At 42.0% G+C, this 16,835-nt stretch overlaps 1 protein-coding gene across 19 annotated transcripts in view; it reads right to left on the bottom strand.

The window, feature by feature from the left end:
- The window catches only part of DRC8 (dynein regulatory complex subunit 8), a 155,548-nt gene that overhangs the window by 128,211 nt on the left and 10,502 nt on the right, over nucleotides 1–16,835 (bottom strand). The window lies entirely within an intron of this gene.

Genomic DNA, 16,835 nt, shown 5'->3' with positions numbered 1-16,835 from the left:
GGTATTATAACTGATCTAGAGATGATTTGAAGTATACAAGAAGATGTGCATAGGTTATATGCAAATATTCTGCCATTTTATGTAAGGGACTTCAGCATCCGTGGATTTTGGTATCCACAGGAGGTCCTGGAGCCTATCCCCGCCACATGCCAAGGGGTGACTGCATGGAGAAGGGAATACAAGAAAAAACAGTTGAGCAGAGGTGTCCACATATAAAATAGACATTAAATGGCTGCTGCTAAACATAAGTATAATGAAGAAAATTCATATTTAAATACAAAGGCAATGATGCTATAGAATATTTATCCACTCCTTTACCTAAGGCCTAGGCTCCAAGCGTTTATTCCCAGGCTAGATTCGAATCTGTCGTGAACAAGTTACTTGATCTCTTTAAACTTCAACTGGGGGTAGCAGTTCCTTTCTGGATTGTAAATGCCAAATCAACAACATGTGACAGTCTAACACAATGCTTAGAACATGTAGGCACTCGTGCCCAGTAGGCTACGAAATTCTTCAAGACAGGGTTGTAGAAGACAACGTCCAGATAGCTTCCAGTGATTCCTGCCTCCTGGTAACGTCCATATGGCTTCCAGTGATTCCCGCCTCCTGGCTTTCACACATTCGTGCAGTCCCCTTTCACAATACACCAGGGCTGACCCATGGGACCAACAGAATATGGCAGAAGTAACAGCACATCACTTTCATACTAGATTTTCATGTTGGCCCCCCCACACCCCTCTTATCACGAGTCCTGCGGGAAACCAGCTGCCTATGGGTAACCCCACTCAAGCAGCACTCAAGCAGCCTATGGGAAACCCCAGGAAAGCAGAGTCTCTGCCCAACCAATCCATCAGATTACGGCAGCCCCAGCCAACATCTTGACTACAACCTCATGAGAGACTCGGAGCCAGAACCACCCAATTAAACAACTTCTAGATTCCTGACCCTAAGAAACTGTGTGAAAAAATAAATGTTTATTGTCTTAAGCCACTAAGTTTTGGGGGTAATTTGTTACCACAAAATAGATGACTAATAGGTAATAGTACTAGATAACATCTAGAGGTATGGTACGGGAAAACGGGGAGCTGGCGTAACACATGCCTAAAAATGTGGGAGAGGCTTTGCAGCCAAGCAGTACTGGCCCTTCCGTAGGCTCTAGGTTAGAGCTTAAGGGAAAGTGAGGAAAATCACATTGGAAACTGCAAAGAGAGATCCTTTTTATGCAATAGCAGAAATTTTGCAACATTGTCACCTGTATCAACATGGAAAGTAGAAAATAAACTGGGTAATCTAGATAAGGGGATTTCCAGGAAAAGCACTGAAGGTGCTTCCTGGTTCCTTCCAGTTGCGCATAATAAAATACAAGAGATGGGTGGGCTCGGTGTCTCATGCCTGTCATCCACACTTTGGGAGACTGAGGTGGTAGGATCACAATCACTTAAGGCCAGCCTGAGCAACACAGAGAGACCTCATCTCTACAAAAAAATTTAAAAATAGTGAGGCACAGTGGCACATACCTGTAGTTCTTGCTACTCGGGAAGGTGAGGTGGGAAAATCGCTTGAGCCCAAGGAGTTCAAGGTTACAGTGAGCTATGATCGCACCACTGCAATCCAGCCTGGGGGATAGAGTGAGAACCTGTCCCTCTTTTTTTTTTTTGAGATGGAGTCTTGCTCTTGTCACTCAGGCTGGAGTGCAGTGGCACAATCTCGGCTCACTGCAACCTCCACCTCCCGGATTCAAGCGATTCTCCTGACTTAGCCTCCCAAGTAGCTGGGGTTACAGGCGCCTGCCACCACGCCCGGCTAATTTTTGTATTTTTAGTAGAGACGGGGTTTCGCCATGTTGGCCAGGATGGTCTGGATCTCCTGATTTCATGATCTGCCCGCCTTGGCCTCCCAAAGTGTGGGGATGACAGGTGTGAGCCACCGCGCCCGGCCGAGAACCTGTCTCTTTTAAACAAACAAACAAAAAATAAAATACAAGAGGAGAGATAACCTAAAGGAAAGCCTGTTAAACAACAAGGAGCCAGGAATTGCTAGTTGTGAAAATTCCCTAGATCTCCAGATGGCAAGAAAACACTAAGAAGTGGCTTCTTAAAGATCAAATTTAGGGCACTGCCAGGAAAACATAATACAGTATATGGTTCTACAGTCCTTTCTTAAGACTTCAGAATTACCAAATGTGGTGCATCAAGGCAACATTCAGACTAGCAAAGAATCTCTAGAAAGTTTGAGGGTGAGTCTTACAGATCCTTTCACTCAAACAACAGGGTTTAAAAAGAAGTTTAATGTCCCAGGCGCAGGGGCTCACACCTGTAATCCCAGCACTTTGGGAGGCTGAGGCCGGCAGATCACGAGGTCAGGAGTTTGAGACCAGCCTGGCCAATATGGTGAAACCCCATCACTACTAAAAATACAAAAATTAGCCAGGCATGGTGGCATGCACCTATAGACCCAGCTACTTGGGAGGCTGAGGCAGGAGACTCACTTGAGCCCAGGAGGCGGAGGTTACAATGAGCCGAGATTGTGCCACTGCACTCCAGCCTGGGTAACAGAGCAAGACTCCATCTAAGAAAAAAAATAAAAAAAGAAGTTTAATGTCTCTTAGCTATCTTAGTAGGAGCCAAAGACAGAGAACAGCTTATCTCAAACAAATTTGTGTATATGGCTTTTGTCTAATGGACAATAAGATTCGTGGGAGACCTATGAAAAATTTTAAAAGGAAGCTATTTGCAGAAACACCTTAAGCCTGAACTAAAAATGACAAAGAGATTACAAAAGGAAAAACGTTCTTTGGACTCCCAAAACTTCTATTGACAGGAATCAGGCTTAGAAAACTGCTTAGCTGTAAACATGTACTACTTCTCGTAAAAGAAAAGATGACAAAGAGTCTAACCAAGAGCTCAGGGGACAGAGCTAAAGGCCACCTAGAATCACTTCTGGACAGTAAGACTGAGTCCTAATCAATAAATGTCCAATACTTGCCAGGCTCAGTTTTATGAACCACGACTCCTGTGTTCCTCCCATTTCCTCCTTACTATGGAGGAATACCAAAAAGTATACCAAAAAAAAAATGTATCCCCAAAGTTCGTGTGTTGGAAACTGAAACCCCCATGCAAGTTTTGGGAGGTGGAAGCTTAAGAGGTGATTAGGCCACGAGGGCTCTGCCCTCATGAATGGATTAATGCTGTTATCTTAGGAGCACGTATGTTATAGCAGGAGTGGGTTCCTTAACAAGAATGAGTTCAGCCTCCTTCCCCATCCCCATATGATGCCTTCTACCATGTTATGATGCAGCAAGAAGGCCCTCACCAGATGCAGACCCTCAATCTCGGACTTTCCAGCCTCCAGAAATGTGAGAAATAAATTTATGTTCTTCATAAGTTACCTAGTCTGTGGTATCCTGTTACAGCAGCACAAATACACGAAGACATCCTCTTTTTTGATAGAAGTGTCTGTGGATGTTACCTTTTCCCATTGTATGTTGAGTGGTAAGGGGCAAGTAACATCTCTCTAGTTCACAGGTCTATAGATCAAGAGAAACCACTCAAGAAGTCATACATAAGTAGCTACAGCCAAGGAACCTCATTACCACCTGGGCTTGATTTAGATATGATATTCTGGACTTTGAGCTGATGCTGTAATGGCTGTAATGGGACGGAAGGCCCATTCTAGTGGGCCTTTGGAGAGAGTGAGTGCATTCTACATGTGCGAGAAACGTGAATCACTGGAGGCCAGAAGGCAGACTGTGGTAGCCAGCCTCTGAGATGGTTCCCGATGACCCTCACCTCTTGCTATTTATACCACTGCGCAGTCACCACTGATATTATATAGGGTTAGTTTATGTCACCAATAGAATAGAGCAAAAGTAATGTTTGGTTACTTCTGAGATTATGTTATAAAAGATATTGTGGCTTCTGTGTCATCTCTTTCTGTCTCTTGAATGACTCACTCTATGGGATACCAGATGCAATGTTGCATGTACAGTCAAGTGGCCTATAGAGAGTCTCATGTGTCAAGAAACTGAGGCCTCCAGCCAACAACCAATAAGGAACCAAGGCTTCCTGCCAAAAGTCATGTGAGTGAGCCCCAGACTATGAGAGACCCTTAGGCACAATCACCCAGTAAAGCTACAGCCAGAAATTATGAGAGATAATAAATATTTGTGGGTTTTAGCTGCTAGATTTGGGAGTAATTGGTTACAGAGCAATAGCTAACTGACACAGGCACTACGTCAAATTCATTCTTTTTGTTTTTTGTTTTTTTGGGGGCTTTTTTTGAGACACAGTCTCACTCTGTTGCCCAGGCTGCGGTGCAGTGGCACAATCTCGGCTCACTGCAACCTTCGCCTCCCAGGTTCAAGTGATTCTCCAGCCTCAGCCTCCAGAGTAGCTGGGATTACAGATGGGTACCACCATGCCTAGCTAATTTTTTGTATTTTTAGTAGAGACAGGGTTTCAGCATGTTGGCCAAGCTGGTCTCAAACTCCTGGCCTCCTGTAATCTGCCCGCCTGAGCCTCCCAAAATGCTGGGATTATAGGAGTGAGCCACTGCGCCCAGCCTTCAAATTCATTCTTTTACTTCTGTAATCCTAGTTGTTTAAGAAATTTTGCAAATTCAATTAATTTTCTTTTCCCTTTCCCTCTCTCACTGATTTGTCACTTTCTCAATAAAGAATTCAAGGTTTGAAAAATTATTGTGGCGGCAGTATTCAAAAAACTTTCCTTCACTAAACACACACTTAACTGTGTTCCACTGCTGCTGTTGTCTATACTTTAAGGGAAATGTGGCCCAATTTAGCTTTAGAATGAGCAGGATGGCTTTCTGTCTTCTCATACTTTGCCATTTTACTGTAAACAGCTTTTTCAAATTGAAGAAAAGTTTTTCCTTGTTGAAAAAATTATCAAGCCTAAAAACAGCGTGCAATCACAGATACGTCTATAAAAAGATGTCTGTCAACTGCGTTTGCTAGTTAGAAGAAAGCTTATTGCAGTTTCCAGCTCCCTGTCGGCTCTTCCTATCTATGGGTTTTGGTTTAAAACACATACTCACAAAATGTTAAAGGCCTTCTATAAACCAAGTGATTTTCTCTTGAATAAATCAGTCCAGACAGTCAATTGTAACAGCTTTCTTTACTTTCTACACTATGAAAACCAGAAAAACCTTTACAAGGCTCGAACCACATGAAAATTACTTAAAACATACTGAATGTCAAGAAAAAAAGTTTCCTTGTGAATATTTGTTTATGATTTTAAATAAATATCAAGATCTTTACATGACTTTCTAGAGATTCAGAGCCACTCCTATAAAAGTTTAAAAAGGTGGTAATAGCAAAATGCTGACCAAACAGGCCCTGACTCCTACTGCTCTATTTCTCTACCTCACAGGGCTGTTACGAGGATTAAAAGTCATAATGTATACAAAGGGCATAAAGCTGGACCATAGTAAACAAGTTACAATAATGGAATCAGAATAATCCAGAAAGCTAATACAAAATAGAAATTATCTGCCAAAAATTCTGACTCATTCCCCAAACCTGACCCCACCCTGTGACCTCCAGAGAGGGAAGAGGCTGGGGATTGAGCGAATCTCGAATGGCCAGTGATCGAACCAACCATGCCTACATAATGGAACCCCCACAAAAACCCTAAACAAAGGGGTTCCAAGAGCTCTGGAATGGCAAGCACATCCACATGCCGGGAGAATAGTGCACCCAACTCCACAGAACAGAAGCTCCTCAGCTGGGGTACCTGGCAGAGCTCACCGCACCCTTTATGTCACTCCATCTGTTTCTTCATTTGCATCCTTTATGATAAACCAGTAAATGTTAAACAAAGTGTTTCCTTGAGTTCTGTGAACCTTTATAGCAAATTATGGAACTAAGAAGGGGGTTATGGAAACCCCCAATTTGTAGCCACATCTAACTGAAGTGTGAGTAACTTAAGGATCCACTACCTTTAATCAGCAGTTAGCCTACTTTCCTAGGGAATGGTCTTGTGGGACCAAATCCTTAACCTGTGGGATCTGTAGTAACTCTGGGTAGTTGGTATTAAATTGAGTTGAATTGTAGGACTCCCAGTTGGTGTCCACAGGGAACTGGAGAATTGTTTGGTGTGGAAAACCCACACATTTGGTGCCAGAAGTACTGAGTAGAACTAGATCCTAGCAGTAGTAGTAGTAGTAGTAGAAGTACAAAAAAAAAAACACCACCCACATTAGGCCAGGCGCAGTGGCTCATGCCTGTAGTCCCAGCTGCTAGGAAGGCTGAGGTGGGAAGACTGCTTGAGCCTGGGAGGCGGAGGTTGCAGTAAATCGAGATTCCAGCCTGGGCAACAGAGCAAGACACTGTCTCAATAAAACCCCCCAAAAACACCACACCTTGATGGGGCTATGTCATAGTGACATAGGAGCCAGCGAAAAGAGCTTCCAATGGCCAAAGCTGAAACAATTTGAGCAACAAAATGAATAAAGTAGTACTGGCTCATAACCCAAAGTATAAAATAAACATCCAATGTGTCCATACTGACAGGAATGAATGATCAAGTGCAGTAGTCTCCCCTTATCCACGAGGGATAAGTCCCAAGACCTGCAGTGGGTGCCTAAAACCTCAGATAACACCAAGCCCTATATATACTATGTTTTCCCCTATTCATACATGCCTGTGATAAATTAAGCACATTAAGAAATTAACAACAGTAACCAATAATAAAATAGAATAATCATAACAACATACTGTAATGGAAGCTATATGAATGGCCTCTCTCAAAATATCTTATTGTACTGTACTCATGCGTCTTGTCATATGTGAGACGATAAAATGCCCACGTGATGAGATGAAGTGAGGTGAATGACACAGAGCACCATGATGCAGTGTCAGGCTACTGTTGACCTGATGATACACCAAAAGGAAGAGCACCTGCCTTGGGAGATCCCGGGTCATCCCGAGCCATGACAATGTTCATGGTTAAATGTCAGAAGCAGAAGATGTCAATGATTAAAGACAGGTAGCATATACAATGTGGATAAACTGGACAAAGCGATGATTCACATCCTGGTAGGACAGAGAGAGATTTCGTCATGATACTCAAAATAGCATGCAATTTAAAATGAATGGTTTATTTCTGGAATTTTCCATTTAATATTTTCAGATCTTGGTTGACCTTAGTTAACTAAAACCACGGAAAGCCAAACCATGAATAGAGGAAACTGTAAATAAATATATAGGAGAAAAGATACAAATCTTCTGTTCAGAAGAATTTCAAATAATTCATGTAGATTCTCTGCCCTCAAGGAGGGAAGCATAACTCCATACTCCTTGAGTGTGGGCTGCACATATGACTTCCTTCCAAAGACTACGGAATGGGGAGACAGAGTTACCACAGTGGAGAAACCAGACAAACACTACCTCAGCCAGGCGATCGAGGCTAACATCAACAGTGATCAATTGTATTGATATTAATAGTACATAACCTTGATGTCATGTGATGAAAATGGTACTTTAACTCTGTGGTCTCCCTCCTAAAATCCCATTCCACCAGTCTAATCAGGACACAAACATCAAATTCTAATAGAGGGGCATTCTGACCCATTCTGAAAACTGTCAAGGAGGTCATTAAAGACAAGGAAAACCTGAGAAACGATCACAGCCAAGAGGAGCCGAAGGAGCCATAGCAACTAAATGGTAACCTGGTGTCCTTGATGGGACTCCGGAGCAGAAAAGGACATTAGGTAAAAATTAAGAAAATCTGAGTAAAGTATGGACTTTAGTTAATTTTTAAAATTACTTTATTGGCCTGGTGTGGTGACTCATGCCTGTAATCCCAACACTTCGGGAGGCCAAGGTGGGAGAATCGCTTGTGCCCAGGAATTCAAGACCAGCCTGGACAACAAAGTGGGTCCTTGTCTCTACAAAAAATAAATAAATAATAACTAAATAAATCAAAATTACTTTATTAACATTGTACTTTGAACAAATTTTGCCACCATTTCTAGGTTGCAATACAGTGTCATGGTTAAGATCACAGACTCTAGAACCAGACCACCTGGTTTAAAGATCATATTCTTACATATTCATACGTACATAGCTCTGTAATCTTTAGGATAAATAACTGCTCAAATATTCAGTTTTTCTCATCTGTGAAAAGCACAATATCGAGTATCTAGCTGACAAGGTTGTTTTGAGGGTTACCACCTGAACTATAGGAATATTCAATCAAAGTTACCCATTATCATTACTAATTTTTTGTAACGTAGGGAAGTTGCCTAGTATCTCAGGAAAGTAAGTTACACAGATTTGGTTGAGAGAAAATAAGTTTTCTATTAGTCATTCACAGGAAGCATATATGGAAAGAGAGAAAACAGGCAAAGGTCTAATGTCACACTCAGTGTTATTAGCATTACTTTTCATGAAGATATAAGCCTTATAGGAATCTGATGACATTTCACTAACAATATTTTGGAACTAGCAATTACTATAATTTTTGCAATGGGTTGGATACGCATATCATCTTTCCTAAATATTAAATAAAATTTTTTATTTCATGCTCCTTTAAAAATATATTATTTACCTTATTTTTAGTTGTTCCTACTCTAATAGGCCACAAAATATAAACAGCAGTGTTGCTTATTATAAAATAAATATAACTAAATTAGTATGTCAATATAATAACAAAATGCCACTTAATTGATAAAAATCCCAGTTGAGGCAAGTTATACCATTATATAATAATTCTCTAGCTACCCAGGAGGCTAAGGCGGGAGGATCGCTTGAGCCCAAGAGTTCAAGGCCAGCCTAGGCAACATAGTGGGACCCGATCTCATTTAAAAAAATAATAAATTAAATAGTTCCCTTTTCACTTTAATTCCATATTGGGTATATGAAAGCCAACAATTTCACACTGTATTTGTTTTCCATCAATGGAAATGCTGCAAAGACTAAAAAACTACATATTGCACTAAGTTAAAATCTAAACCATAGGAGAAAAACAACAAAAAAAGTTAAACTTAATTTCGAAAGAACAAATTAATGATAATAAATACAAAGGAGCAGTCATAACAAAACACAAGTCAAATCACCTAAGGATATAAGAGAAGTTTTTTAAACAAATAGTGCAGCTGAGTTTTTTCTAACATGGAGATGTCTGTTTACATATTTAAATATCTAATTAGATACTCAAAATCCCACCTACAGAAATTAAGATAAAATAATAAGCCCCAAGAGGAATACTTACCATGGGAACTGTTTAAAGCATACAAAAAAGAAGGTAAAGAAATGCCCTCAAGGTTAATTAACTGAAAGTACAGATAATGTTATTGTTCTATTTGACCCAATTAATACCAATACATATTCCAGACATATGCTGTCAAAAAAAAAAAAATCAAGAATCCAATTCTTGGCCTTTGGCTGGGGGGGTCAGGGGAGAGAGGTGGTAGGAATAGTTCTTTGAGAATTCTTTTTTCATAAACAACTTGATCCAAAGACAATATACCACCAAAACACTAGGCTTAAAATGAAATACCGTAGCTGTGGCTCACACCTGTAATCCCAGCACTTTGGCAGGCTGAGGTGGGCGGATCACTTGAGGTCAGGAGTTCGAAACCAGCCTGGCCAACATGGTGAAACCCCATGTCTACTAAAAATACAAAAAAAAATTAGCCAGGTGTGGTGATGCACGCCTGTAATCTCAGCTACTCGGAAGGCGGAGGAATGAGAATTGCTTGAACCCGGGAGGTGGAGGTTGTAGTGAGCTGAGAACGCGCCATTGCACTCCAGCCAGAGCGACAGAGCAAGACTCCATCTCAAAAAAAAAAAAAGAAAGAAATACTGTACTCAATCATCATCTACTTTTATGTTAATCTGTGCTTTCATTTATGAAATGTTTGTTGATCAGCTACCATCTACTATAAATACATTCTAACTTAAAAGGAAAACAGACCAGCTATAGTAAATCACAACAGATCAGTGCTAAAACTTAGTGACATACACAGACAGCCCTACGGAGGCACAAGAGTGGCACCCACCTCAGACTTGAGGATGGACCTTAGATAAAGATGAGAAGCAAGAGTCAGAAGTTGGACTGAAAGGTGTTCATTCATCCCTGTCTCCTCCAGTCCCCACATCCAGTCACAAAAACGTTTAGACTCTCTTGACTCTCAAACCTTCTCTGCCATTTCCTCCGCTGCTGTCTAATCCAAGACACCACCATCATTATCTGCTCTTGCCGTGCTCCACCCTTCCACAGTGCAAGCAAGTGATCTTTTTTTTTTTTTTTTTTGAGACAGGGTCTCACTATGTTACCCAGGCTGGAGTGCAGTGGCTATTCACAGGTGTGATCATAGCTCACTGCATCCTCGAACTTCTAGGCTCAAGCAATCCTCCCACCTCAGCCTCCCAAGTAGCTGGGACTCCAGGCTCGTGCCATCACATCTGGCCAAGTGACCTCTTAAAAACATAATGAATTGTATCATTTCCCTGTTTAAAAAGCTCCAATGGCTCCCTCTTGCTCTTGTATAGAAGTCAGCCTCCCTGACCTGGTCTTCACAAAGACCTGGCCTCTGCCTACTTTCAAACTTCATTTCACACCATTCTTCCCACCTTCATGTCTCCATTCCAGCCACAATGGAGCCTCGTGCAACTCCTCTAATAAGCTATGCTCCTTTCTTACTTCAGGCTTGTAAATTCGCAGTTCCATCTGTTACTAGTAGTAGTTTTTGGTAGAGGAAATGTCACATTCAAAGCCACTGAAGTAAGAAAAATTTAAATCAGACCAGGCATGGTGGCTCATGCCTGTAATCCCAGCACTTTGGGAGGCCGAGGTGGGCGGGTCACCTGAGGTCAGGAGTTCAAGACCAGCCTGACCAACATGGAGAAACCCCGTCTCTACTAAAAATATAAAATTAGCCAGGCATGGTGGCACACGCCTGTAATCCCAGCTACTCGGGAGGCTGAGGCATAAGAATCACTTGAACCTGGGAGGTGGAGGTTGTGGTGAGCTGAGATCATGCCACTGTACTTCAGCCTGGGCAACAAGAGTGAAACTCTGTCTGAAAAAAAAATAAAAGAAAGAAAAAAGAAAAATTTAAATCAGATGTCCCTTTTGTGGAACCCTGAACTTTTTTGAACTGCTTATAACAATTATGTATTTTTTTTTTTTTTGAGATGGAGTCTCCCTCTGTTGCCCAGGCTGGAGTTCAGTGGCACGATCTCGGCTCACTGCAACCTCTGCCTCCCGGGTTCAAGCAATTCTCATGCCTCCGCCTCCCAAGTAGCTCAGATTACAGGTGTGTGCCACCATGCCTGGCTAATTTTTGTATTTTAGTAGAGACGGGGGTTTCACCACATTAGCCAGGCTGGTCTTGAACTCCTGGCCTCGAGTGATCTGCCCACCTTGGCCTCCCAAAGTATTGGGATTACAGGTGTGTGCCACCACACCTGGCCCAATAATTATGTAACTCTTTAATGGTTCTCTCCTCTACAGCAATATCTAAGAGGACAGGGCCCAAATCTGTTTTATTCCCCAACATCTAGCACCAGGCCTAACACGGTAAGTAAGGACTCATAACATTTCTAGAGCTCTTACGGCATGTGAAGTTCTCCACAACATCCTTTACCACCACATGGGACAGGCTCTGCTATGCTCCTCATTTGACATGTGAAGAAATTAGAACACCTAAGTACCTTGCCTAAAGTTATCCAGCTCTAAAGTGGCAAAGCCAGAATTTGAGCCCATAAGGATTAACTACAGACTTCATGTTCTTAACCACTAAGCAATGCTATTTACTAAATGAAGTCTGGGATAAGGAAACAATATGTGCGCAGGCTAGCACTTTCATTACAGGAACAACAAAGAAATTGCTCTCTATGATGAAGCGTATAATGAAGTGTAGAATGCGTGAATGGTGATACCACACATGTAATCAGAAAAAAAAAAAAAAAAAAAAAACCCTGGAGACAGAAGACATCCTTGTCTGTTTTGTTAGAATTCAGACTATCCTAAGGGTAATGGGAAGACATTAAGGATTTTAGGTAGAGAATTCATTAACCAATAACCAGATTTACAGCATAATAAATGAAAACAAGTAAACCAGGTAAGAGGTTTTTGTAAGGAGCCAGTAAGTACAGATAAACACGTATGTGTCAGGAAATTGAGGGAGTTTTTTTTTTTTTTTGAAGGGGGGGTGTTTTTTGACAGAGTCTTGCTCTGTCGCCCAGGCTGGAGTGTAGTGGCATGATCTCGGCTCACCGCAACCTCCACCTCCCAGGTTCAAGCGATTCTCCTGCCTCAGCCTCCCGAGTAGCTGGGACTACAGGCGTGTGCCACCACACCTGGCTCATTTTTATACTTTTAGTAGAGACAGGGTTTCTCTGTGTTGGCCAGGCTGGTCTCGAACTCCTGACCTCAGGTGATCCACCTGCCTCAATTTCCCAAAGTGCTGGGATTACAGGTGTGAGCCACCACACATAGCCTATTTTCAGTATTTTAAAAGGATTCACAGAAAAATACATTTACTCTTAATAAGAAGATGCAAGGTGCCATCAATGTGCTACTCCTGGTTCCTGCATTCTTGCAACAAATATTTACAGTGATTACTATATCCTACACATTTTCTAAATCCAGGGATTTAGTAACAAAAGAAACAAAATATCTAGTTTCCTATCATTTCCACTGTAACAGGATAGAGAGACAATAAGCAAATCTGTATTTTATCCTGATCATAAGCTCTGAATGGCAATATGTGGGTCTATGATTGATTTCTTTAAAATTGGAGAGAAATAATGTAATTAATACAAAAGGATCACAAGGTACTCACAGAATTGGGAAATTGGGTTATCCTCTGTAACTAGGAAGACCCACCAGAGATGGGATTCAACAAAATTATTCCCCCCCCCCAAAAAAATTAGCCAGGTACGGTGGCATACACCTGTAGTCCCAGCTACTCAGGAGTCTGAGGTGGGAGGACCGCTTGAGCACAGGAGTTTGAGGCTGCAGTGAGCTAAGATTGGGCCACTGCACTCCAGCCTGGATGACAGAGAGAAACCCTGTCTCTCCAGAAAAAAAAGAAATTTTTCCAAAGTGGGTAGAGGATGAGGATCAAAGCTGGGTCAAAAAAAAAATCCTTGTATAAGAACATTTACAACAGAACATTTTTAAACAATTTAAATATCTAACAGTTAGACAAACCTTAAGTAAATCATAGTGACCATAAGTATTAATGTTAGGTTAAGTTGGTGCAAAAGTAATTGCGGTATTTCCGGTTACTTTTTTTTTTTTTTTTTTTTGAGACAGAGTCTTGCTCTACTGCCCAGGCTGGAGTACAATGGCATGACCTTGGCTCACTGCAACCTCCGCCTCCTGAGTACAAGTGATTCTCCTGCCTCGGCCTCCCGAGTAGCTGGGATTACAAGCATGCGCCACCACAACTGGCTAATTTTTGTATTTTTAGTAGAGACAGGGTTTCACCATGATGGCCAGGCTGGTCTCAAACTCCTGACCTCAAGTGGTCCGCCCACCTCAGCCTCCCAAAGTGCTGGAATTACAGGTGTGAGCTACCACGCCAGGCCCGATTACTTTTAATAGCAAAAACCACAATTACTTTTGCACCAACCTAATATAATGAATGCAACTCCTTTATATGTCTTTAAGAAATACTTGTGACATGAAAAAATGTTTCTAATAGTAAGTGAAAAAAGCTGGACATAAAACCATATTCAATATCATCTCAAGTTTGTAAAACAAAACAAAATACAAATCTGCCTAGACAAAACCTAGAAGGAAATACACTGAAATGGCAAAATTCACTTTAAATTTTAGATCAATGTTTCTTAACAGCATGCTCATCCTGTGGTAACTTGTTAGAAATGCAAATTTCCAGACCCCCTCACTCCAGATTACTGAGGGTGAGACCCAACAATCTATGTTTTAACAAGCTTTCCAGATGATTTTCTTCTTTTTTTTTCCCTAGGAGATTGGAGTCTCACCCTCTTGCAATGGCGCGATATCAGCTCATTGCAACCTCTGCCTCCTGGATTCAAGAAATTCTTCTGCCTCAGGCTCCCAAGTAGCTAAGATTACAGGCACCCACCACCACACCTGGCTAATTTTTTGTATTTTTATTTTTAGTACAGACAGGGTTTCACCATGTTGGCCAGGCTGGTCTCGATCTCCTGACCTCAGGTGATCCACCCGCCTCAGCCTCCCAAAGTGCTGGGCCCGCTCAGCCCATTTTTTCAAATATTTCTTCTGCTCTATTCTTTCTTTTCCTTCTGGCATTCAATTACATGTTATTTCACACCTTTTAAATTATCCCATGGTTCTTGGGTGTTGTTTTTTCATTCTTTTCTCTCTTTGCAATTCAGTTTGGAAAGTTTCTAGTGACATACCTTCAAGCTCAATGATTCTTTCCTCAGCCACATTGAGTCTATGGACTCCAGGGTCCGAGTGATTCTCCTGCCTCAGCCTCACAAGTAGCTGGGACTACAGGCACACGCCACCACGCCTGGCTAATTTTTGTCTTTTTGTAGAGATGGGGTTTTGCCATGTTGGCTAGGCTGGTCTCACACTCCTAACCTCAAGTGACCCACCCTCCTTGGCCTCCCAAAGTGCTGGGATTACAGGCATGCGTCACCAAGCCCGGCCTGAACCTTTAACATATTAATCACAGTTCTTTAAATTCCTTGATAATTACAAAACACCCATTATCATATATCTAAGTCTGGTTCTGATGCTTGCTTTGTCTCTTCGGGCTGTTTTTCTTGCCTATTAGCATGTCTTGTCATTTTTTGTTGGAAGCCAGACATGATAGTAATCAGCTACTAGTGTGAGGCTTTACCCCAATCTGGCTAGGAGTAGGGCTGTGTTTAATGTTTGCTGTAGCTGTAGGTGCCAGATTCCTCTTCAGGCTTCCCTAAGAACTTGTCCTTAAATAGAGTCTCCACCTTGTAGGTCTTCCAGCTGCAAGCCGCTGTCAGTTGGTCTGAGTTGTATTCCTGTTGATGTGGTGGTGAGGGATGGGTGAGGAGAATTCTATCAACTTACGATGAAATCTCAGTCTTTTAGTGGACCTGTGTCAATGGGCTGTGACCTTCACAAGTGTTTTTCAGCTTTTTCCATCCGTTGAGATAAGACCAGACTAGCGGCCACTGAAATTGGCCTTTTTATGAAGAATGCACTAGCATATTTCAAAAGCGTTGCTTTCCCCTTCCCCTGTTAAACCAACCTTGCTTGGCTCTTCACCAGAATAACCCCGTGGGGTTCCTAGGAGTAAAACCGGAGGAAGTGTGAGGGACCGCCTAAGACTGCAGGCCTCCAGGAGTTTCTCACTCTCATGACAGTCCACACGCAGCCTCCACCAATTTGTCAAAATTAACAAATATTTCTTGCAGTTTATGGCTCCAGGAGCAACCGGAGTGATGACTTCCAAGCGCTTACCTTTTGAGCTGAAACTGGAAGGCTGCTTTACCTATCTAAGCCTCCATTTCCTTACTTGTGGAAAGCGGGTAACAGAGGCACCTACCACATAGATTTATTGTAAGGATTAAAGGACATAATACACGTAAAACATTCAGCCCAGTGCCTACTTCAGAGTAAGTGCTCTATAAATGTTAACCATTGGGGAGTTTTTCCCAACATTTTTAAGTGCTTCCTTCATGAAATTCTTCCTACTTGGCTTTTGTGACACTATTTGCTCATTTTCCCATGATTTTGCAATTGTGCTTTCAATCTTATTCACAAGTTATTTTTCTCTGTTCAATTACTGATTTTTACCCAGAGTTCTGATCCTAGTCACTTCTCCTTTCAGTCAACATTTTTTTTTGGCGGTGGGGTGGTGGGGTGGGGACAGAGAGTCTCACTCTGTCATCCAGGCTGGAGTGCAATGGCGTGATCTCGGCTCACTGCAACCTCTGCCTCCCCAGGTTCAAGCGATTCTCCTGCCTCAGCCTCTCAAGTAGCTGGGATTACAGACGCCTGCCACCACACCTGGCTAATTTTTGTGTTTTGGGTAGAGAGGGGGTTTTGCCATGTTGGTCAGGCTGGTCTCGAACTGCCTACCTCAGGTAATCCACCCGCCTGGGCCTCCCAAGGTGCTGGGATTACAGGCGTGAACCACCACGCCCGGCCTCAGTCAACAAAATTGTATCCATTTTTTCTGGACATTCTCAACCATTCCCAAGACTACAACCACTTACAGAGGAATACATTCAAGCGATCCAACACACATCATTCTCATTTTTCATTCAACAGATATTTAGGTACCAAGCACACAGTGCTGCCTATGTTATATCTCAACCTGAATGCCTCACAGGCACCCAAACTCAACATGTGCAAGACTAGAACTATTATTTACATAACTCTACTATTCCTCTTTATTCTTTGTTACCCAATCAGAAACCGTGTCCCTGACCTGACTCAATATTCATATCTGTCCTATTACAAAATCTATCCATTTCCTCTAGCCTATCTCCTTGTTTCATTCCTGACTTCCATTACTTTGGTTCAGGGTTTTATCTTTCTGGACTACTATACTGGGACAAACCTGGAGTCCCAAACCTGGAGTCCATCTAATCCACTGAGCACACTTGCCCAAGTGATTTTTCTAGACAACAAATATGATTGTCTCTTGCTAAAAAAAACTTTATTTTTTATTTTTTCATTTTTATTTTTTAGACAGAGTCTCATTCTGTCAGCCACGCTGGAGTTCAGTGGTGCAATCCTGGCTCACTGCAACCTCCACCTCCCGGGTTCAAGTGATTATCCTGCCTCAGCCTCCCATCTTGTTAAAAACTTTTTTTTTTTTTTTTTTGAGACGGAGTCTCGCTGTGTTGCCCTTGCTGGAGT

This window comes from Homo sapiens, chromosome 1 (genome assembly GCF_000001405.40).
Source record: "Homo sapiens chromosome 1, GRCh38.p14 Primary Assembly".
NCBI classification, from domain to species: domain Eukaryota; kingdom Metazoa; phylum Chordata; class Mammalia; order Primates; family Hominidae; genus Homo; species Homo sapiens.
Note: the sequence above shows the minus strand (reverse complement) of the source record. Positions and strands in the feature narration are given on the sequence as shown.